At 42.3% G+C, this 24328-nt stretch overlaps 1 protein-coding gene across 15 annotated transcripts in view; it reads right to left on the reverse strand.

Moving 5' to 3' along the window:
- The window catches only part of MAK (male germ cell associated kinase), a 75817-nt gene continuing 53910 nt past the window's right edge, over window positions 2422-24328 (reverse strand). For 4 of the 15 annotated variants that reach the window (NM_001242957.3, XM_011514619.3, XM_011514620.3 and 1 more), the window contains 5 exons: window positions 24123-24271; window positions 15027-15158; window positions 12733-12807; window positions 9810-9929; window positions 2422-4305 (listed from right to left, as the gene is read on the reverse strand). In NM_001242957.3, the coding sequence (NP_001229886.1) occupies window positions 4151-4305; window positions 9810-9929; window positions 12733-12807; window positions 15027-15158; window positions 24123-24271 (631 nt within the window). In that variant the 3' untranslated portion in view covers window positions 2422-4150. Of the gene's footprint in view, window positions 4306-7598; window positions 7762-9809; window positions 9930-12732; window positions 12808-15026; window positions 15159-19024; window positions 19197-24122; window positions 24272-24328 lie in introns of those variants that run through there. The other 11 variants (NM_001377262.1, XM_011514622.4, NM_001242385.2 and 8 more) reach the window with 8 other exon arrangements.

A 24328-nucleotide genomic window follows, 5' to 3' on the forward strand; every position in this document is an offset into this window, starting at 1 on the left:
GCTGGCTCTGCGTGTGCTCTTTCTCTATTGCAATTCCCTGTCTTGATAACTCAGCTCTGTCTAGGCAAAGGGCAAAGTGAACCCATTGGGCCATTACAAGATTTTGTGTCTTTGGAAAGCACTTCACATTTTTATTCTTTTTTTTTTTTTTTGAGATGGAGTCTCGCTTAGTCACCCAGGCTGGAGTGCAATGGCGTGATCTTGGCTCACCACAACCTCTGGCTGCCAGGTTCAAGTGATTCTCCTGCCTCAGCCTCCCGAGTAGCTGGGATTACAGGCATGTGCCACCACACCCAGCTAATTTTGTATTTTTAGTAGAGACGGGGCTTCTCCATGTTGGTGAGGCTGGTCTCGAACTCCCGACCTCAGGTTGGGACTTCTCACCCAGGCTGGAGTGCTGTGTCATGATCTAGGTTCACTGCAGCCTCCTCCTTCTGGGTTCAAGTGATTCTTCTGTCTCAGCCTCCCGAGTAGCTGGAACTATAGGCGTGTGCCACCACACCCGGCTAATTTTGTATTTTTAGCAGAGACGGTGTTTCACCATGTTGGCCAGGCTGGTCTCAACCTCCTGACCTCAGGTGATCCACCCACCTCGGCCTCTCAAAGTGCTGGGATTACAAGCGTGAGTCACTGCCGCACCTGATCATTCATGCATTCATTCATGCATTCATCTTAGTATGGACTCATGGATATTTCTTTTTTCTTTGGGTTGTAATACTTATTTTTTTTTTTTTTTTTTTGAGACGGAGTCTTGCTCTGTCACCCAGGCTGGAGTGCAGTGGCATGGTCTCGGCTCACTGCAAGCTCCGCCTCATGGGTTCACGCCATTCTCCTGCCTCAGCCTCCTGAGGAGCTGGGACTACAGGTGCCTGCCACCATGCCCGGCTAATTTTTTTGTATTTTTAGTACAGACAGGGTTTCACCATGTTAGCCAGGATGGTCTCGATCTCCTGACCTCATGATCTGCCCACCTTGGCCTCCCAAAGTGCTGGGATTACAGGCATCAGCCACCGCGCCGGGCAATACTTAATTTTCTTGCTCAAATTGTTGCAGCTTTGGCCATTGGAAACTCAGTTGACCTCTGTGTCCCTCTGGCATAGCCAAAGGGTTTGTGTGTTTGTAGAACTTCCTTATTGTCTGGCACTACAAGACGTTCTAGGCTCATCTTGTATATTTCCTGTCCTAGTACTAGAATCAGCCATTTCTCCAAGTAGCTCTGGTTCCTTTTATTGAACAGTGGTACTGCACACCAATATCTGGACACCAATATCTGAGTGCTAGGTATGCTTATTGCTACTGGGCTGAAATCTACTTAAAACATTTTTTTACGTTATTCTTTTTCTAGCTTCCTAAATTAAATGCTCAAATTCAGCATATTTTCCATGCTCGTTTTTTTTTTTTTTTTTTTTTTTTCCACAAATAAACCATGTGCATACTTTTTTTCTGAGATCTGTTTTGGCTAGATGTGCAATGGCACAATCTTGGCTCACTGCAACCTCCACCTCCCGGGTTCAAGCGATTCTCCTGTCTCAGCCTCCCAAGTAGCTGGGATTACAGACATGCACCACCATGGCTCATAATGTTTTTGTATTATTAGTGGAGATGGGGTTTCACCATGTTGGCCAGGCTGGTCTTGAACTCCTGACCCCAGGTAATTCTGGAAAAAGAAAAACTGTGGAGACAGTAACAAGGTCAATGGTGGCCAGAGGTTCAGGGCAAGATAGGGAAGGATGAATAGGGAGAGGACAGGATTTTGAGGGAGTAAAATGATTCTTATGATACTATTATGGTGGATACATGTCCTTATACATTTTGTCAAAACCCATAGTGTACAACACAAGAGTGAACCCTAATATAAACTATGGACTTTAATTAATAACAATGTATCAATACTGGCTTATCAGTTGTAATGAATTATCTACATGAATGCAAGATGTTGATAATAGGGAAAATCGGGGAGGGGCAGATGAAGGGGCATATGGGAACTCTACTTTCTGATCAATATTTTCATAAACCTAAAAGGGCTTTTATTTTTTTTTTTTTGAGACAGAGTCTCGCTCTGTCGCCCAGGCTGGAGTGCAGTGGCACGATCTCACTGTACTGTAACCTCTGCCTCCCAGGTTCAAGCAATTCTCCTACCTCAGCCGCCCAAGTAGCTGGGATTACAGGTGCCCGCCACCGTGCCCAGCTAATTTTTGTGTATTTTTAGTAGAGACAGGGTTTTGCCATCTTGGCCAGGCTGGTCTTGAACTCTTGACCTCAAGTGATCCACCCACCTATGACTCCCAGAGTTCTGGGATTACAGGTGTGAGCCACTGTGCCTGGCCCTAAAACTGCTTTTTTTAAAGACTACTAATTAAAACAACAACAACAAATAGAATTCAGGATATAAGGTTTAAAAACATAATGAAAACACACTAGTTAGCCATATTTTTTTTAATGCCTATTCAGAGTTTAAAAGTGTCCCAGTAACAAAAGACTGCACAGCTTTGAGACATTAATTTAAACTGTACAAATACATATAACCATTACCACTAGGATAAATTACTCTTTAGATTTTAACATTTTTCAACATCTTACATCTGAACAGTTGACTCTTCTATACAAAAATATCATTATTATTTTATAATATGCCTTTGTATAATGCCCACAAGATGACACTTATTACAATAGCAGTTGTTACAAAGTCACAAAATACATAAAAATCTCAGCAGTTGGTAACATTATTATTCTTTAAAAAGAATTTACAGTACTAAGGTCCAGTCCAGAAAGTGGCAGATTTAAACAGAGTAGCCCAAAGTTCGAAGTGTCTATTTAAAATACCAGTTTGGAAATAAACTAAGGAAATAATATATGTACTATGTGATATCACTGCCCCAGCAGCTGAACGCACTTGCTTCAGAGCAAATGTGAAGGTCAGAGCTGAGTCAGTGGTCAGCAGCATGAGCTGGCTTGGGGGAACCAGCTGGCACACTTCATCTTTGTGTCTGGTAGGGACACAGAAACAAAACAATTTGAAAAGTCCAATGAACCAGCATCAAACAAACACAGTTTCCAGAACTTTCTTAATGATGTCCAGCCAAGAGAACCTTGACTTGGTTACTATTGAAGTCATCAAGCCATTGGGCTTGATTGTCACCTTGAATTCATGGGAACTGTACTGGTCAAGATCAAAACACAAGCCGTCCACTAAAATCAAGTGGCATAACTTTGATATTCTCTATGTTAAAGATAAATTTATTTCTAAAAAAAAAAAAAAAAAGCTGGGCACTGTGGCTCACACCTGTAAGCCCTGCACTTTGGGAGGCCGAGGCAGGTGGATCACCTGAGGTCAGGAGTTTGAGACCAGCCTGAGCCTGACCAACATGGTGAAACCCTGTCTCTACTAATACTACAAAAATTAGCCAGGCATGGTGGCACACGCCTCTAATCCCAGCTACTCGGGAGGCTGAGGCAGGAGAATCACTTGAACCCAGGAGGTGGAGGTTGCAGTAAGCCAAGATAGTGCCACTGCACTCCAGCCTGGACACAAGAGTGAAACATCGCCTCAAAAAAAAAAAAAAAGATATCCTGCTCAAGATTGAAATTACCATCGCTCCCATAGCTTCAAAGTAGAAAAACAAATAATTGCAATCTTTCTGTCATTGACAAAATGGCAGCGCAGAGCCTTAGTCAAATAAGAACCACAGCTGACAGCCAGCAAAGGTTGGCCCAACTGCTGTACAAAAACAAAAGACAAACCTCTTAAGCCAACCACAGCAAAGTGAAGAACTACTAAACCATTTGGGCACATACAACAAATGAAAACTAAAACACTCTAAACATTTTCTGGAAGTTGTTTTTTTTTAAGGGTTCTTATTGGATTTACTATTTATTAAATTGTAGATCAAATACTTCATACTTTGGCAAATAGTTTATTCAATACTTTGTAACATCCTACCCATATATCAACACTGTGGGCAATGATGCTAAGAAAATGCATTTCTTGGAAATAAGTAAAATAGGGGATGATTTTTGCCCTTCCAAGTACCCACTTTTGCATATTTCTTCCAGAACTCAGTAGAAATAGACATTTGTAGACATTTCCCAGGGTCAAGGAACTTGCACGTACTCTACGGAGCAATGCTGTAGGGTTTCACACCATAGACTCCTACCGGTGGCCTCCATACTTGGCCACCCAGTCTGTCCTCCCATGCACTGAGGGAATGGGCTGTGCACGGTTCACAATATTTAGGTTTTTTGCTGTAGGATTATAAGTACGTCCTGAAAACTGCCCCCGACCAGTTTTTGTGTTCCAGGTATATTCTGAAAGAAATCAGATTTGGAAAACAGGGTTTTACTCATTTGCTTATCAAACTCAAAATAAAGAAATTCATCCTCTCATTTGATGGGGAAAATCTGAATTTATGTTTAAAAGATTAACTCAGTACTCTCTGAGGCTTTTTAAATGTTAAAACCAAAAATTCTAGTGTAGTATTATGTTGACATCCATTAGAATTTCCAGTAGCTGGCCGGGCGCAGTGGCTCCTGCCTGTAGTCCTAGCACTTTGGGAGGCTGAAGCAAGTGGATCACCTGAGGTCAGGAGTTCGAGACCAGCCTGGCCAACATGGTGAAACCCTGTCTCTACTAAAAATACAAAAAAAATCAGCTGAGCGTGGTGGCGGGTGACTGTAATCCCAGCTACTCAGGAGGCTGAGGCAAGAGAATCACTTGAACCCGGGAGGCAGTGGTTGCAGTGAGCCGAGATCATACCATTGCACACCAGCCTGGGCGACAAGAGTGAAACTCCATCTCAAAAAAAAAAAAAAAGAATTTTCAGTAGCTGAAGAGCCAATATTATTCCTGGTTTATAGTGCTGACACTGCTGCTATTTTTAATATTTTACATTTAGATAGGCAACGCCAGGTAAGAAGACCAAGAAAATTTATTGGCTCAAATTCAATGGGCAACACCCACAGTGTTGGTGACTTTGTAATATCACACTGTGGTTACATCTAAATAATATTGACACAATATCACTACAGAAAAATGTATTTGGAATTGTGAATCTATAAAACTGTGGCTTCATGGAAGAACACACATGGGGTCCTATAATAGATTTCTTTTTAAACATTAAAATGTGGGTTTTAGAATGAAGATTTTTTTTTTTTTTTTTTTTTTTTTTTTTTTTTAATGAGGCAGAGTTTCGCCCTTGTTGCCCAGGCTGGAGTGCAATGGTGCGATCTCGGCTCACTGCAACCTCCACCTCCCGGGTTCAAGTGATTCTCTTGCCTCAGCCTTCTGAGCAGCTGGGATTACAGGGGCGCACCACCACGCCCAGCTAGTTTTTGTATTTTTAGTAGAGATGGGGTTTTGCCATGTTGGCCAGGCTGGTCTGGAACTCCTGACCTAAGGTGATCCACCCACCTCAGCCTTGCCAATGATCCACCCACCTCAGCCTCCCAAAGTGCTAGGATTACAGGTGTGAGCCATCGCACCCGGCCCATACTTCATTTCTCATTGGGAAAATCATGGGTGGGAACACAATTCCCTTAAATGGTAGGATCCTAAACTTTTAACCACAAGGTTGTTTCATTCATATATCTGACTGTTTAAAAATTTGTGAAAAATTTAAAATTTCTTGAACATTTGTTATCTGAACAATTTATGAGCTAAAACTGCTTCAACATTTCAAAGGACAAAGCAGGAGATCATTTTACAGACAACTTTTGATGCCTTCTTCAGTCCCTCCTTCACGCTTTCCTCACCTCGAATTGAGAGCTAAGGTATCACAGGTATTGTATCTGAGGAGGGATGTCTGCTTTTTCCATCTGGGGTTTAAATATCTCTTCACACTGTGTAGTAGCTGCCATTCTTGGATTAAACTCTAAGTGTTAATACTGAAATGAATCTGACCATTTTGTACCCCTAGCCCTAGCTATCCCATATTTACTGGCATGGTTTGCACAGTTTTTCTTAAATTTTCACTGTATAACTGGGAGTGAGGAGGGAATTCTGTGAGCATGTGGTCCTGACAAGCTACTAACTTCAGCATGGGTGAACAAGGTATTAAGTGTGGACACTCTGGGTAAGACAGCCGCCTGGCTGCCGTGTAGTTTGGTGGAGGCAGGGAGGCCAAGAGCTCCCCACTCCATGGTTTGACAGGTCCTTTCATTCCACTCTTTTTACTGGGCTTAAAATTCTCAAAGTCAAAGCCACTAAAAAGCTATCTAACAAAGTCAGGGACAATGTGTCTACAAGGGCCAGTCAGGGCACCATGTTTTCCAGAAAGAGCCCTTTAGTTATAGCCATTGGAATAGAAACGAGCATCTGTCTGCTAAATTAGTGAGCTCACCCATGTGGGCCACAGGTCAAACTGGTAGCAGGGGTAGAAGAGACAGCGTGGGAGGGGAGTAGAGAGCGGGGAGAGAGGCAATAAGCCCCGCTTATTCAGGGAGGGAAAAGGGAACGTGGCATTAGGCTAATGGGTGTGGCTCTGAGGGCAAGAAGTGAGAGCTTTGGGGAGTAACAAAAAGAGAAGCCTTTTTCCAGGTCATGATATCACCTAAGTCCTAAATGGTTTTAAATGAAATTGTGTCCAGGACAATATTTTGTAAAACTTTTTCAAGAGGGAATCATTTTGCTAAGAAGGGGGTAGTGTTGAGATTTAGGATTCCTTTCCTAGATATACTAGAATTTCAGGACTCAAGTACCTTTGGTGAAGAACCTAACAGCTGAGAGGAGCCCAGATCTCGTGGCAGGGCAAGAAGTGCTTTTGTGCCTTAGTGGGACCACCCCACACCTCACTGCCCTGCAAGAGCGGGAGGGATAGTGAGCCTTGCAATGCTTGCTCTGTGTTTAAAAACTGCATCTGTCCTATCAAGGACATTTAACTTCTTGTAGAAAATCTATGCTAAAGGAAAGAAGTTTGCCTCTAGTTATGGATTTAATTGATGCCACTGTGATACAACTTTTAGCAACATATAAAACTTGTGTGAGATGCGGATCATAATAGTACCTCCTGGAATACAGCCCTGGGAGGATTAATGAGTTAATGTACACAGAGTGCTTAAAACAGGATCCTGCACTTCTAAAGTGATCCTAAAGGGTGCTGTGTAGAACAGAAGTCACTCCTCGAAGTCCTTGTTAGTTTCAAGGCAGGGGATAAGGAAGTATTAGGGGAAGGAGAGATTACATGGGAGGGAAGACATTGATTTTCCTTCTCAAAACTTAAAGGGTAGAGGCCAGGTGCGGTGGCTCATGCCTGTAATCCCAGCACTTTGAGAGGTCGAGGCAGGCAGATCACGAGGTCAAGAGATCGAGATCATCCTGCCCCATCTCTACTAAAAATACATAAATTAGCTGGGCGTGGTGGCACGCACCTGTAGTCCCAGCTACTCCGGAGGCTGAGGCAGGAGAATCGCTTGAACCCGGGTGGCAGAGGTTGCAGCAGGGAGCTGAGATCACGCCACTGCACTCCAGGCTGGTGACAGAGCGAGACTTTGTCTCAAAAAAAAAAAAAAAAAAAAACAAAAACAAAAATCTTGAAGGGGAGAAAGAAGAGCAAAGACGAGACTATGCAAGAAGGGGGAAATAGTTGAGTAAATATGGTAATGACCTGGTTTTATTTTCTTGTGGGAAACTGTCACCCAACTGGCATGACTGGAAGACACATCTCTTACAGAACAGTGTTTTTTCTAAGGATTTGCATTGACCACTTGAGAGTGATTAATATTTACTTCATTTTTTACCTTTCCTCCTATCACCATCTGTAGAAAAATCTGATAAGCAGAGTAAAGAAATAAAAAGTTAAGAAAAAGCATTTACTTAAAAAAAATGAAAACAGGAATATGCATGCTAATTGGATAGAATAATTAATATATAAAGGCCTTCAATATCTTACAAAAATATTTTTTAAAAGACCCACTCTTGATTTATAAGAGTAGATACCTAGGTAACAAAATAATTTGAAACATTATGATTTTCTGCCTTTATATTAAAAATATAAAATGTGGCCGGGTGCAGTGGTTCATGCCTGTAATCCCAGCACTTGTGGGAGGCTGAGGCAGGTGAATCATTTGAGGTCACGAGTTCAAGACCAGCCTGACCAACACAGTGAAACTGCGTCTCTACTAAAAATACAAAAAAAATTAGCTGGGCATGGTGGTGCATGCCTGTAATCCCAGCTGCTTGGGAGGCTGAGGCAGGAGAATCGTTTGAACCCGGGAGGTGGAGGTTGCAGTGAGCTGAGATCACACCACTGCACTCCAGCCTGGGCAACAGAGCAAGACTCCATCTCAAAATAAATAAAATTTTATATTTCATATAAATGAATGGCTCATAAGGCTGGCTTAAATATTTGAGGCCTTATAAAAATCACTGCTGTATATAAAATGTTTACTTATTTTGTTTCAGCGAAAAGATAATGAAGCAATTCTTTTCACAGATAAGGTAACTGTAGTACTATTTAAGCAGTTCTATTGCGGCAAGAAATAAAAAAATAAAGAAGTCCAGGCTTTATACATTTTTAGCTCCAATAGTGTGAACTTTAAAGACTGGCACATCTAATCAGGGGTTTTAATATAAGATAGTGGTTAGGATAGGCTGTGAGCACACTTTCAGAGTCAACTTTTAAATTAAACTACAGGCCGGGCATAGTGGTTCATGCCTATAATCCCAGAGTTTTGGGAGGCCAAGGTGGGAGGATTGCTTGCGCCCACGAGTCAAGATCCAGCTTGGGCAACATAGCAAGACCCTGTCCCTACAAAAAACATTTTTTTTAATTAGCTGGGCACGGTCGTGTGTGCCTGTAGTCCCATCTACTCAGAAGGCGGAGGCAGGAGGATCACTTGAGCCCAGGAGTTCGAGGCTGCAGTGAACCATGATTGCATCCCTGCACTCCAGCCTGGGTGACAGAGCAAGGCTTTTTCTCTATAAAAAAGAATTAAAATAAATAAATTAAACTACAATTAGGTATCTTATTAAAGTTCTAATGATTGGCTTTAATGTTTATTTTTGGTGCTTCACTAAGAATATCTATTTCAGATTCAAATGATTCGAAGACCATTCATGGTCAAATCTGATTGGCTTAAGTACAGAATCATCACCCTCCATTTCAAGTGTGTACCCCCACATGTGGCTGTCACATGCCACACCACTGGGGAGCAAGCTTACCTCAGTTAGGCATAACGCTGGAGGGTGGAGGGATAAACCCTTCCCCCTGAATACTATTGCAAAGCAAAAGGCAGGGTGTGAAAGTCCTGCCACCGCTAATTTCTACGCCCTAAGATGGAACTGTAGAGACACACCTCATGTTAACTCATTCATAAATAGAGTGTCAGCATTTATTAAGCTTTCACCCTGTGCCAGGTCCTGGGCAGAGGGCTCTGGAAAAGGCATTTTCTCACATCTCTCTGTGCAGCACAGCACACTCTTTGGAAGTGGATTAAGTTGGGTTTCTATCCCAGCTCCACTAGCTGTGTGACCTCAGGTAAGTTACTTCACCTACATTTCATCATCTGTAAAGAAGAGATCTAGCTACATCATCAGGTTATCATGAGGATTAAATGATATAATTCCAGTAAGCCCTTTACACTGTGCCTGGCAGAGAGTCACCACTTAATTAGTGGTAGCTCTTATAATTATTAGACCCTCAAATCCTCATTTTTGGAAGAAAAATAGGACATTTCGGTAAAAACAAAAAGAAATGCGTTAATGAGGTGAGGCTGACTAAAAGTCTTCGCTTGGGAAAAGTGACTGCATAAACTTAAAAAGGAAAATGTTCCTTTCTGCTAGGAATCTAGAAAACTGTATCTGAAGTTGTTCCTACCTGAAGCCGTTGCATTGAGAGGTGCTAAGTGGATCCTCTGGCCAGCTGACTGCACTTCTTTTTTGAGAAAGGAAGGAATATATCCTGACTGATTGTAAGTAGCATAACTTCCAAGATTTCCTAGTGACATATCATAAAGTTTCACAGTCAGAAGGTGAATATTTTAGGCACAGTAGAATAACATTGAATACTACCCCATTACTTCTAAATACTATTTTTCAGCATCTACTATGTTTTAGGCACTGAGCTGCACTTGTTACAGATATTCTTATTCCATCCATACAACAGCCCGCTTAGATCATATTAGTATCCATATCGTGTGGCTCTCCAATGTTGAGTAACTTGCCTAACTTCTCACAGTTAGTAAGAGACTGAGCTGGGGTCTGAACTCAAGGCCCAGGGGTGTTCAGTTCACCCTGAACACGCCAGGCTTTCTCACGACCCCACTTCTTCACATGGGGGTGTATTTCCCACTGCGAAGCCCCTATCTCTGAAGTGCTCTCTGTGTCTGTCTTCATTCTGTAAAATGGTTGTAAGTGGACCTATTCTCGTAGGGTTGTTGTAGGGATTGATGAGACTCTTCAGAGCACGTGGCATAGAATCTGTACGCATTAAACGTCAGCTAGCATAATTGCCATCATTATCAACACCATCATCATCATCACTATTGGTGAATGCTCAATCTGGCGTTAGCATAGGGATGCATTGATGAGGAAAAATCTAAAGTCTGGAGACCAGTGAGGAAGTCACTGCTAAGAGCTGAAATGAGGGAGGATGAGGGTCTGAACCACAGCAGTGGCAGAGGGTGAAGAAGAAGGGAACTAAGCAGGTTCACGGGGTGGAGGTGGTAGGGAAAGAGGGAAATATAAACTCCTAAGTTTGCAGCTCAGGTGACTGGGGGGTGCGTTGTCCATGAATAGCAACATAGGAGGAGAATCAGGATTGGGGGAAAGACATGGTACCCAGAGGACATTCATGTTGTGGCAGGCAGAGGGCAAGTGGGCAGGCGTGGAGATTGGTGATGATCAGGGTGTGGTGGTTACAGAGTTGTGGGCTGAAGGAGCCAGCTCAGAGGCACTGCGAATGTGCAGAGACCTGGAGTAGACCCCCAAGGAACACCAGCATTAAGGGACAGGAGAGAAAAGGACCTCATGGAGGAAGAGAACAGGTAGAGAGGTGGATGGTAGGAGGAACAGGGTATGGAAATCCAAGAGAATACACACTGAGTGTGGAAAAAAGGAATGGGAGATGAGGCAGAGAGCTCGGATAGGACCAGCACCGCCCCTGGGATCTGGCCACTAGGATGTCAAGATCTAGCAGGAGCTGCTGCACTGGCAGGAAGCAGACTGAAGACAAACGACAACCAGAAGCAATAGGAGGAGCTAGCTCTGCAGGAAGGGAGACAGGTTTATCTCTAGAAGGCGAAATGGGGCTCTGATCACCCTCGTGGTTTCAAAGCACTGTTCAGTAAACAGTGTTTTCTCTATAGCGTTATCTGTTTACACGTCTCGACACTGGGCTCTGTGTCCGTTGTCTCTCACGGCATATCAGGCTTCAACAGGTGTCTGCTCTTGAAGCAACAAATGTCAAAGCGCAATATTATGTTATCAGCCCCTAAAGGGTTACATACAGTGAGCACATGCTCTCAGTCTATACATGTTTAACCCTACTGAATTTTGTGTAAGTTCAGCTGCCTACTTTAACCTTTTTCCCATCTCAGAAACTCATTCTGAAACACTAATCAGTTCTTTACTTCAGAAAAATTTTCGGAAGGAAATTCAAAGCAGTGATTGCATTCACTAGCAGCTTCAGTCATGTCTCTTGCTCTCATCCTCATCAGCAGAGCAAACACTTATTAAATGCTTAGCATGTGTTAAAATTCCAGGTAGGGTTATGTAAGAATACCTAAGGAAATTTCGTCCGTTTTATGGACGGGAAAGCTGGCTTAAACAACTTGTCCCAAACCACAAAAGCTGGTGAGTGACAAAATGGGATATATCAGACTCTAGGATTCATGCATTATGATGCTTCTTATTGGAGAAAGAAGTTGTTAGGGAAAAAACATGAACAGAAAATTAAGTCTTCTTAAATTATTTTGGCTTATTATTTGAAGTACCTTGTATGCTGTGAATTTTCAGATTGCAGCCAGTTGTTAGCACTGTTGAAACCAGTAACACTGAACCCCTAGGAAATCCACCATCTCTATTAACCCAGTTAACCTTTTTTTTTTTTTAATTTTTATTTATTTATTTGAGATGGAGTCTTGCTCTGTTGCCAGGCTGGAGTGCAGTGGCGCAATCTTGGTTCACTGCAACCTCCGCCTCCCGGGTTCAAGCGATTCTCCTGCCTCAGCCTCCTGAGTAGCTGGGATTACAGGTGCATGCCACCACACACAGCTAATTTTTGTATTTTTAGTAGAGACACGGGTTTCATCATGTTGGCCAGGATGGTCTCTATCTCTTGATCTCATGATCTGCCCGGCTCGGCCTCCTGAAGTGCTGGGATTTCAGGTGTGAGCCACCGCGCCCAGCCTAACCTTTTTAAAAAAGTGGTTGTTCATGCTTAAGAAATGAGTTTCAGAACTTTGAAAAAAAAATTCCAGGAATATAGATCGCAAAATTAGAAAATACTCTTTTGATTCTTTTCATTAGAATTATTTGCTTGATTTCCTCTATAAATTTCCGTAATTAATTTAAGAAGACCAGCACAGAGCTTTTTGAGAGCATATTCATCTTAAAATCTCAGTTACTGAAGGAAGATATTCTTGATGAGACAGAATGCTTTTCTTTATCTTAGTCCTGATCTGACTTCTCAAAGCGGATCATCTCGGCCTTTTATGTCAGGATTAGGGGCAAATGTTGAGAAGAAAATCAGACAAGAGATTCAAAGAACAAACTGCATTCATCTGACGCCCAGAAATTACCTTGTGGGTCCTCTAATTTTTCAGGAAAAGTTTCATTGCATGATAGTTTTTCGATTGGTTTAATTATGCTTTCTTCTAAAGAGAAGACAGATGGAAAGAAAGAATAATAGTAAGGAGAATGTTATAGGAAAAGCAGAGAAAAAATGGATTAGATGATTAATGAAAAGATCCAGAAAGAGCCCTTAAAAATGCAAAAATGTCCCCATTGTTGTCACAGCATTTATTTGATGCCAACTGTATATTCCCTTGAGACTCAAAGTTGTTCTACTGTCATTTAATTGAATTTGTGTAACTGGTTGGTTCAGTGAATATTAATTTTAATTATCTGAAGAAAAAATAAGTAAATTACAGTGCTGCAGTGTATGACACCGCAGCGACATTAAATGGATAAACTGAGTTTTTAAAGAATCTGGAAAACTTGTAAAAAGCCCAAATATATTGATGTCACATCAGAATATCTCACTAAACTACTCACTTATAATGGTAATTGTCAAAGTTTTTTGATCCAATATCACCTACATTAAAAAACAAACTGTACCTCTTCACACACTTTTAAGTTGATATTTAAAATTTTTAATCATAAGTTTAACAGTTGCAAAGGATGTTATTTCTGACATATTGTAACTATAGGCATTTAAAAAATAAAACTATTAGTGATTTTTTTTTTTTTTTTTTTGAGACAGAATCTCGCTCTGTCGCCCAGGCTGGAGTGCAGTGGTGTGATCTCGGCTCACTGCAACCTCCACTTCCTGGGTTCAAGCGATTCTCCTGTCTCAGTCTCCTGAGCAGCTGGATTTATAGGCGCATGCCACCATGCCTGGATTTTTTTTTGTGTGTGTGTATTTTTAGTAGAGACAGGGTTTCACCATGTTGGTCAGGCGGGTCTCGAACTCCGGACCTTGTGATTCGCCCACCTCGGCCTCCCAAAGTGCTGGGATTACAGGAGTGGGCCACTGCACCTGGCCAAAACTATTAGTGATTTTATGTCCTCCAATATTGACATAAAAATACATGAACAAGTTCCTTTTTGATGCTTGGACATTTCACATTAATTCTTTTTTCCCTTAAAATTATATCTTTATTTATACCTCAGCTTCCAAATTTTATCCAAATGTAATCTTAGGCTTAAAAGTCTAAAATTGGTCACTCTAAAATATGTGTAAATTAAAACTTTTTTTAATTTCTTGTAACCATAAGGATATTAACATACTGTACAAAGTTATAATTACAATGATTCATTGTATATAATTAATCAAAAAAGTTGAGTATTATATATTTTGATTACTAAACACGAAAATTAAGTTTTTTGCAAACACATCTCTTAATGAGAAAGGTGGGGTTATTTTCAAGTAGTTCATGTATCAACAAATGAATATTTATTGCTGGAATCACAGCATCAGGGCTATTTTCTCTCTCTTTTCTTTTTTCTTCCTTTTTGGAGACAGAAGCATTAAGAAATCTTGCTAATACAAATAGATAGTTGGGAACAAAAGCGGTTTTGTGATAGCTTTGCCACTCTATTCTTCAAACGCTCTTCAAAATTACAGACCAAAATTCATATACTGATCTCATAAAAAAAAATTAAAAAAACTTTTTAAATTACCTGTCAGCTAACAATTCAAGTAGGTCCTCCTTCAATTTTCTAAATGCTGAGAACTGTTAAGACTCCTTGACTTTAAAAAGGACCTGTTCCTCAGTCATCAAATCAAAGTTACTTACTTTCTCAACAGTGACATCAACATACCAGAATTTCCATTTCATTGGCACCCCAGATATTTTTACATTTTGGGGAAAAAGAAAACACACCATGGTAGCCAGTGAGAAGTCTTCTTTTCAGAATAGAAACTCCTTGCTAGGGCAGACCCATTTCAGGAAAGATTCAGATGGAGGTCGAGAATTCCCTTAAAACTAGCTGTACTCAAGAATTAGTGGGAAAACCTTTTTTTTATTATTGTACTTTTTAATATAGAGGCACAGTTCCACCATGTTGGCCAGGTTGATCTCGAACTCCTAGGCTCAAGGGACCTGCCCACCTCCGCCTCCCAAAGTGCTGGGATTACAGGTGTGAACCACCATGCTCATCCAGCTACAAACAGTTTTATTGAAGAGGCAGTGTTACAACTCCATGACTGCTCCAGCAGAGCAGGGCTACCCATAGGCAGAGTGTAGTGGAAAACCTTTGTGTATCTCCCAAGTGCACATGTATCTTGGTTGGAAGAGCACTGCAATATATTTAAAAGTAGACCTCTATAAAGGAAAACCCCGTACATGTACATTTTGTATTCTTGCGTTACCTGCATTGCTCCTTTTGAAAGCAAGTTCTGCCCCAACGGGTCCCAGTGACTTGGGGAATAACTGGTTGCTCCAAGTGTGGGGGTTTATTTCCTTTCCACTGGCTATCAAGGACACCTTCTTGGGATTCACACCTGAGAAGAACAAAACAACCACTTCAAAGGTTAGAGCAGATCATAAACTTAAAGGAAACTTATGTAATACATTCAAACAAAGACTAGAGACACCTTGGACAGGAGAATGGAAATAAATCTAGGTGAAAATGTAGCAGATACTTGCTTTCTGATGAACCCTAACATGATACCAAGCCCTTAGCACAACCACCTGGAATGTTGACAGTGTACTTTATAGGCAGAAGATATTTTCTACAATATAATAATAACACTTGATGTTCTTGCTAAGGGTCTTGTAAAAATTGAGATGGCACAAAAATTTTTCTTCAACAACACGACGTTTTTTTTGTTTTGTTTTGTTTTGTTTTGAGACAGGGTCTCTCTCTGTCGTCCAGGCTGGAGTGCCATGGTGTGATCTTGGCTCACTGCAGCCTCCACCTCCCAGGTTCAAGTGATTCTTGTGTCTCAGCCTCCCGAGTAGCTGGGATTACAGGCACCCACCACCATGCTTGGCTAATTTTTGTATTTTTAGTAGAGAGGGGATTTCACCATGTTGGCCAGGCTGTCTCAAACTCCTGGCCTCAAGTGATCCGTTCACCTTGGCCTCCCAAAGTGCTGAGATTACAGGTGTAAGCCACCACACCCGACCCAACATGACATTTTCATGTCACTTGTTTTGAGCGTATATTCTTGGCCCAACCCTTGGTGTAGCAGGGAAAACAGACACGTGACTAAGAACTCAGGAAAACCTTTGAAGTTCGGAGGTATGAAGCTCCACCTGAAACGCTTATTTGTATATGAGATACAGTAAAATGGAAACAGTTTATCCCCTGTGCGCCAGAAAGAAGTCATTGCAAATGTACTTGGAAAAAGAACAGTTTAAATTACTTATGATTTTCTGAAATCTGTGAAATGTCCATTCAGCCTTGGGCCGTGATACTAGTGGTCAAAGGGAGTTGTTTCAACCTGTTCTTAAGAGACTGAAAACTTCTTGAGCTTGTTTTCTTTTCACTGATAATTAAATTAGAGTGAACTTGAGCAGTCTATGCCTTTTGGTCATTCACGGAGAGTTTTCTTTATCTAGTGTAGAAATCATCACTGAGGACTCCACTGATTTAGGAAGTCAGAACTGTCTCCAGGCAGTTGAGCTTTTGCTTTCCGCGAGCTGGATTCCTTAGAAAGGTTTCATATGTATGAGATATATAATAATATCCCTTATTTTGAAACCAGAAATACTGCACCTCAAAAGTTACCCATTATCAGTTCTCTAAGGAAACACTTCATCAGGCAAGTAATTTCCCTTTCTTTATAGGATATAACTTCCCTAATAAAACACCTACAAATCGAACTATTATAGGCAACTACCAGCTGGGTGCGGTGGCTCATGCCTGTAATCCCAGCACTTTGGGAGGCCGAGGCGGGCGGATCACGAGGTCAGGAGTTTGAGACCAGCTTGGCCAACATAGTGAAACCCCATCTCTACTAAAAACACAAAAATTAGCCAGGCATGAGACAGGAGAATCGCTTGAACCTGGGAGGCAGAGGTTGTGGTGAGCCCGAGATCGCACCACTGCACTCTAGCCTGGGCAACAGAGTGAGACTCCATTTCAAAAGAAAAAAAAAAAAGGCAACTACCTAACCATAAAGATGCACTTGGTGGCAATTACTCATATTAAAACATCTTTAGGCCAGGCACAGTGGCTCATGCCTGTAATCCCAGCACTTTGGGAGGCTGAGGGAGGTGGATCACCTGAGGTCAGGAGTTCGAGACAAGCCTGGCCAACATGGTGAGACCCTGTCTCTACTAAAAGAATACAAAAAAAATTAGCTGGGTGTGGTGGTGCCTGCCTGTAATTCCAGCTACTTGGGAGGCTGAGGCACGAGAATCACTTGAACCCAAGTTGTGGAAGTTGCAATGAGCTGAGACTGTGCCACTGCATCCAGCCTGGTCTACAGAGCAAGACTGTCACAAAAAAAAAAAAAAATGTATTTACCCAAAAAGGAAGTGCAAGGTAGGGGTAAAACATTAAAAATCTGTGTGAACACAGTTGTCATAACAAAGAATGAGTTCTGAATATTTAAATGATGTTGTTAATCCAGTTGGCCTTGGCAATATTCCTAAATAGGCTTTTTTTTTAAGTATTTTAAAGTAAAAGGTAAGTAAATTATTGAAGATAACTAGTTTAATTCAAGGTTTGTTTTGTTTTCTTTTGTTTTGAGACAGACTTTTGCTATTGTTGCCCAGGCTGGAGTGCAATGGCGTGATCTCAGCTCACCAAAACCTCCACCTCCCAGGTTCAAGTGATTCTCTTGCCTCAGCCTCCTGAGTAGCTGGGATTACAGGCATGCGCCATCACGCCCGGCTAATTTTGTATTTTTAGTAGAGACAGGGTTTCTCCATGTTGGTCAGGCTAGTCTCGGACTCCCAACCTCAGGTGATCCGCCTGCCTCAGCCTCCCAAAGTGCTGGGATTACAGGTATGAGCCACCTCGCCTGGCCTCAAGGTCTATTTAAGATAAAGATTCCAATTTTGTTGGAAATAGATATATCCTAGAATTTTGTTATTTATTTGTTTATAAGTTTTCACTGGGTACCTCCTACAAACCAAACACTGTTAGGAAGAAGCATAAATTAATTTGATATTATAATGATAGATGTCATTACATGATGATAATCACTTGCCTCAAAGGACATAAAAAAGTCAGTTAGCAAATATTTACTGAGCACCTACCAGTGCCAGGCAGTGCGTGGCATTGGAGAAAAAGTGCTAAACAAAATAGACCAGTTTCTACTCTTTGGCTCTTAGAATCTAATGAGAAGGGAGACAGTTTTAGTCATAACTAAGTAAATACATAATGAGCAGGGTGCATCATGTTTAGAAGAATCTGGGGTGGAGGGGGCAAATAACAGAAGCAACTCAGCCAGTCTTTCTTTCAAATAAGCAATTTTAAGCTGAAATGTGAATCATGATTAACCCTCATTTATGCCTGAGGTTGCAATTTTTTGAAATTTTGCAATCAGACCTTGGCGATGACCTTCAGCAGTAGGATACAACTCCCACATGCTTAGCGTTCCAATAATGGAACACTAGGCATAAATGTGTTTTAAGGGGTGGGGAGGTGCGATCCTTGAAGAGGCAACAGTTTGGGCAGAGGACCTGAGATGGGAAAGAACTCAGAGATGGCCAGTAAGGCTGCAGCAAGAACACGGGGTGGTATAAAATGAGGCTGGAGAGGGGAGGAGGGGCAGGCCACACAGGATTTTGTGTGCCGTGTTAAGAAAGTGAAAAAGCAGAGGCTAATGTAGAAATGACACAGGATGTTGAATAAACAGGGTGGAAGGAAAGATGGTGAATAATGAATGGGAAGAGAGAAGGATGCACAGATCAGTTTCATAAGTGCTATGGAGGCCAGGTGCGGTGGCTCATGCCTGTAATCCCAGCACTTTGGGAGGCTGAGGTGGGCGGATCACTTGAGGTCAGGAGTTTGTGATCAGCCTGGCCAACATGGTGAAACCCCATCTCTACTAAAAATACAAAAATTAGCTGGGCATGGTGGCGTGTGCCTGTAGTCCCAGCTACTTGGGAGTCTGAGGCAGGAGAATCACCTGAACCCAGGAGGTGGAGGTTGCAGTGAGCTGAGGTGGTACCACTGCACTCCAGCCTGGGCAACACAGCAACACTTCGTCTCAAAAAAAAAAAAAAAAAAAAAAAAAAAGAAGTGCTATGGAGTGAGCTGCTCCGGCCAGCAGTGGTGGCATCGATTCATGCCCAGAGTCCCGGCTCTAGGAGCAGGGGGTGAGACCAGAGGGCACTGCTGAGAGATTAGCTTTCAATTGCATACTGTATTTGCAACTATCTTGTGATAATTAAAGTACCTAAGGCTTACAGAGTGAGCTGACAGATGGTGCAGTCCCATCGTAAGTTACAGAAAACAGAATCTTGCTCCAAGTACACAGCCGGTTAGTAGTAGCAGGTCAGTAACTATGACTCTTGCGTCTCTTTCCCTGAAGGCCAGTGTCACAGATCCGCCAGTCCTTGTAGTATAATGTCATGCTGCCCTGCAATTATATGGTACATTTCTAGAGCTCCCAGAATCCTAAAAGTCGATGCTTAATAAGACCTTTTATACTTGGCTTTAGGGTAAAGAGGGGGCCCCAAAAGATATTAGTATTTTTTATTCCTGAAGATACTCAATTACAAAAATAACTATGGATCATAAATAAATGTCAAGGATTGTTTCTTTTTTTAAATTTTTTTATTTTTTGAGACAGTTTCACTCTTGTTGCCCAGGCTGGAGTGCAATGGCACTATCTTGGCTCACTGCAACATCTGCCTTCTGGATTCAAGTGATTCTCCTGCCTCAGCCTCCTGTGTAGCTGGGATTACAGGCACCCGCCACCATGCCTGGCTAATTTTTTTGTATTTTTAGTAGAGACGGGGTTTCATTATGTTGGCCAGGCTGGTCTCGAATTCCTGACCTCAGGTGATCCACCGGCTTTGGCCTCCCCAAAGTGCTGGGATTACAGGCGTGAGCCACCGCACCCGGCCAAAGATTGCTTCTTATTCAGGTTTCTATCCTCTGCATAGTTGCTGGTTCACAATAGGTGCTCAATAAATGTCTGTCCAGGTGACTGAACTGAGCCTGATTCTAGTTTTAAATTTCATCCAGCTCCAGAGGGGTCATCTTCAAAACCACGACCGCCAATAGGTGACAGTAAGGCTCAAGTTTACATTCCAAACAATTCTTTGTAATTGAGTTTACTTTTTAAATCTCAATTATAGCCATCCTTCTGATCCCAAGTAATTTGCAGACTTTGTTAGATTTCTAGTTAAAAAGGAAATGATCAAACAGGTCTCAGAAAACCACATTAGGAAGCAGAACTATGAAAACAGGGTGCTTTGGCTCAAAGGATAAATATCCTTTGACAAAAGTTTGCAGTAGTGTTTCCTACTACTCACTTCTGTAAGTAAGAAGATACTGATTTGCAATATTTCAGTCAGTGAAATGTACTGGTTTTTTTTTTTTTTTTTTTTGAGACAGAGTCTTGTTCTGTTTCCAGGCTGGAGTGCAGTAGGGCGATCTCAGCTCACTGCAGCCTCCACCTCCCGGGTTCAAGCCATTCTCCTGCCTCAGCCTCCTGAGTAGCTGGGATTACAGGCACACACCACCACGCCCAGCTAATTTTTGTATTTTTAGTAGAGACGGAATTTCACCATGTTGGCCAGGATGGTCTCAATCTCTTGATCTCGTGATCCACCCGCCTTAGCCTCCCAAAGTGCTGGGATTATAGGCGACAGCACCCGGCAAAATGTACCAATTTAAACAAACAAAAAAACAAAAAACACAGTGAAAACTATCTCTCATGAACCTATGTTTTGAAAACTTTCTTCCATCCTTGCTTTTGCAGTCAGATTAAAACTCTCTCAGAATTTCTTTTTTCTTTTTCTCTCTCTCTCATGATTTCAACACCAAAATTTACACACAGGTGTCTAAAGATTACAATAACAAGGATTTCTGCTGCTTTCAAAAGTGTGCCCCAACCCTGGTCTTGATCCCAACTCCTCTCCCACCTTCCTAAGCTCTTCAGTCCCTCACTCATCCCCCTTCACCTCCTGTGTTACTAGTTCCTCCTCTGTAAGGGATCTTGCTCCTCTACACGCAAACCTGCTCGGAGCACTGCTGAAATGCTTCATTCCATTTCTAAGCTCCTCTTCACAGCCATCTAAGATGAAGCAGCCAAAATGAGGCCTGCCATGTTTACAGTCTGATTATCAAGAAATATGGGCAGATTTCTCATTCTGTGAGTGTCATGATGTGACAACTTCCTATACAAAAATGTTAGAATAACTTATTTTCTCTCACTTTCAAGAATCAAAGCATAATGTCACAAATAGAACAGTTTTCAAACTGTAGGTGAAACTATAGTCAGGAAAATTTGACCTCGTGAGGAAGAAAATACAGACTTCAAGGTCAAAAGTAGATTTTTTTTTTTTTTTTTTTTGAGACAGAGTCTCACTCTGTCACCCAGGCTGGAGTGCAATGTCACAATCTTGGCTCACTGCAACCTCTGCCTCCTGGGTTCAAGTGATTCTCCTGCCTCACCCTCCTGAGTAGCTGGGATTACAGGCACCCAACACCACGCCCGGCTAATTACTGTATTTTTAGTAGAGACAGGGTTTTGCCATGTTGGACAGGCTAGTCTCGAACTCCTGACTTCAAGTGATCCGCCTGCCTCAGCCTCCCAAAGTGCTGGGATTACAGGCATGAGCCACTGCACCTGGCCTCATTAACTATTTTAATAAGATACTTGTAAATTGACTTGGCATATACTACCAATAAGATATGTATACATTTTTTCATCTGTTTCTCTATCCAGACACACACAAACAAGACCCAGGTTTTTTCAGGCCCACTTCCCATGTCTCACTCTGGTGCCACAGAGCCTAAAAATGTGCTTACATCAACAACGACAAAAAATATTATAGGGCTGGGTGTTGTGGTTCACGCCTGTAATCCCACCACTTTGGGAACGAGGTGGGTGGATCACCTGAGGTCAGGAGTTCAAGACCAACCTGGCCAACATGGTGAAACCCCGTCTCTACTAAAACATACAAAAATTAGCCGGGTGTGGTGGTGAGCGCCTGTAATTCCAGCTACTTGGGAGGCTGAGGCAGGAGAATCGCTTCAACCCAGGAGGATGAGGTTGCAGTGAGCCAAGATCGTGCCACTACACTCCAGCCTGGGCAACGAGTGAAACTCTGTCACACACACACACACACACACACACACACACACACACACACACACACAGACACACACCAAAACTATTTAACCTATTTAGATCGCCAAATACCCAGGGTTATAAAGTTTTTGCTGTTCTTGATGGCTTCATGCCAATTTCTTCAACCTCTCAAATACAAATACGTGTCTTCCTCCTTACAAATCAGCACAGGACTGCAGTCCTAAAGCCTCAATTCACCCCCTGTAAGTTTATATCAACTTATTCAACACCTGTGGCTAAACCTATACACCCACCGTGCCTTCTGTTTTCTCTCCCATTCATCTCTAAACCCTCTACTTGCTTTCATTTTTTTTCTTTTCCCCAATTACTAACAGCAAGAGAGGGTCCCAACTGGATTTTTTTTTTTTTTTTTTTTTGACACAGTCTTGCTCTGTTGCCCATGCTGGAGTGCAGCGGTGCCATCTCGGCTCACTGCAACCTCCACCTCCTGGGTCAAGCAATTCTCCTGCCTCAGCCTCCCGAGTAGCTGGGATTACAGATGCCCACCACCACGTCCAGCTAATTTTTATATTTTTAGTAGAGACGGGGTTTCACCATGTTGGTCAGGCTGGTCTCAAACTCCTGAACTCAGGTGATCCGCCCACCTCGGCCTCCCAAAGTGCTGGGATTACAGGTGTGAGCCACTGTGCCCAGCCCTAGCTGGATTCTTAGAACTGAAATTTCTATGTTTGCCTAAAAGGTACACAGGGAAGTGTGTTACAGATCCATCTTTTGCTGGCAATCCTGTCTCAACCTTTTCTCTTGTTTGCCATGCCCCATCTTCCCAAACAAGCTTCTGGGAAATGGAGACTGTGTCTTGCTTCAGGAGACTTAGATGTGAAAAGCAAATCTTCCTCAGTTAAACAGTGGCCCACTCGTGTTTAGAAAGTTATAAATGACCATGCCCACAAAAACACAAAAGAAAAAGATCATCTTCTCCCTCACTGGATTAAAGATGTATCTGTGTAGATACAGGACGATTTAAAAATGGATTATCTTTTAGATTAAATTGAATTGAAACATTTCCTTTTTATTTGGATTTAGAGGAGAAAATGCTATTTGCAGGCACATGATAAACTCCCCACTGTCTGTCCAGATCTTTCTCCCAAGCTCCAGATTCATATACCCAGGCGCCCATTAGATGGATCAATTCAGATGTTTAACAGGCATCCCGCACTCAGCTCTCCATTCTCTACTTCCACAATCTTCTCCTCTTCTAATCTTCCCTTTCTCAGCTAAAGTCACCACCGTTCACCCAGTTCCCAAGTCAAAACCTCAGATGCTGCCACTAATTCTTTCCACCAATCTACCCACAAGTCCTATTGGTTCCAGTACCAAAACATGTCTAGGTTTTGCCCACTTGTACCTCTGCCACTTCCACTCTGGAACCAGCCATTTACATTACCCCACCCCATCCGGACATAAGCAGTGGCCTCTTAGCCAGTGTCTTTGCCTCTCTTGAGTTCCCAGCATGCTCTTCCGAGCAGGCAGAATCTTTTAAAAATATACACCAGATTGGCTGGGCACAGTGGCTCACGCCTGTCATCTCAGCACTTTGGGAGGCCAAGGCGGGCGGATCACAAGGTCAGGAGATCGAGACCATCCCGGCTAACACGGTGAAACACCATCTCTACTAAAAATGCAAAAATTAGCCAGGCGTGGTGGCTCGCACCTGTAGTCCCAGCTACTCGGGAGGCTGAGGCAGGAGAATGGCTTAAACCTGGGAGGTGGAGGTTGCAGTGAGCCGAGATCACGCCACTGCACTCCAGCCTGGGCGACAGAGCGAGAATCTGTCTCAAAAAAAACAAAAAAACAAACAAACAAAAAAATGTACACCAGATCATTTAGGAAAGAGTATTTGAAAATCTACATTTTATAAAAAGTTGTAATGGGGGCATAGAATTGGCTTAATAAAATTTAGGATTTACTGAATGCATAGCTTTGGTGGGGGGTGGGGGTTGGTGTTTTCTGGAAGCATATTCATCATCTTGATTTTTGCTCCTAAGCATTTCTTGAGCAGAATTCTACTAGTGGTAGAAACAGGAGGTCCAGAAAAGTCCTTGGCGACAGACTGAGCTACCAAAGAGCTCTGTGATTAGATTTTTTGCTTCACTGCTGCCCTTTCTTTGGAGATTCCAAGACACTTGAACCTGACCTATCTATACTCTAGTTAGCAGCAAACATTTTCTTTGCTCTACTTACCTGGAAGATATCTTGATTGTTTCAAGTAGTACTGTTTAGAGGTTGGAGCAGTTGACAATTCGGAATCAGATTTTAGGGAAGTAACAGCAGGTAAGCTCTTGTTTTCCCCTGTCGAGTGGTTGGAGCCTGAGGGTACTGGCTCTGGAAGCCTTGAAAGCCAATGAAAGGTAGCATTACAGCACGAACAACGAGAGGATCTCGCCCAC

Source organism: Homo sapiens, chromosome 6 (genome assembly GCF_000001405.40).
Source record: "Homo sapiens chromosome 6, GRCh38.p14 Primary Assembly".
Lineage (NCBI taxonomy): Eukaryota > Metazoa > Chordata > Mammalia > Primates > Hominidae > Homo > Homo sapiens.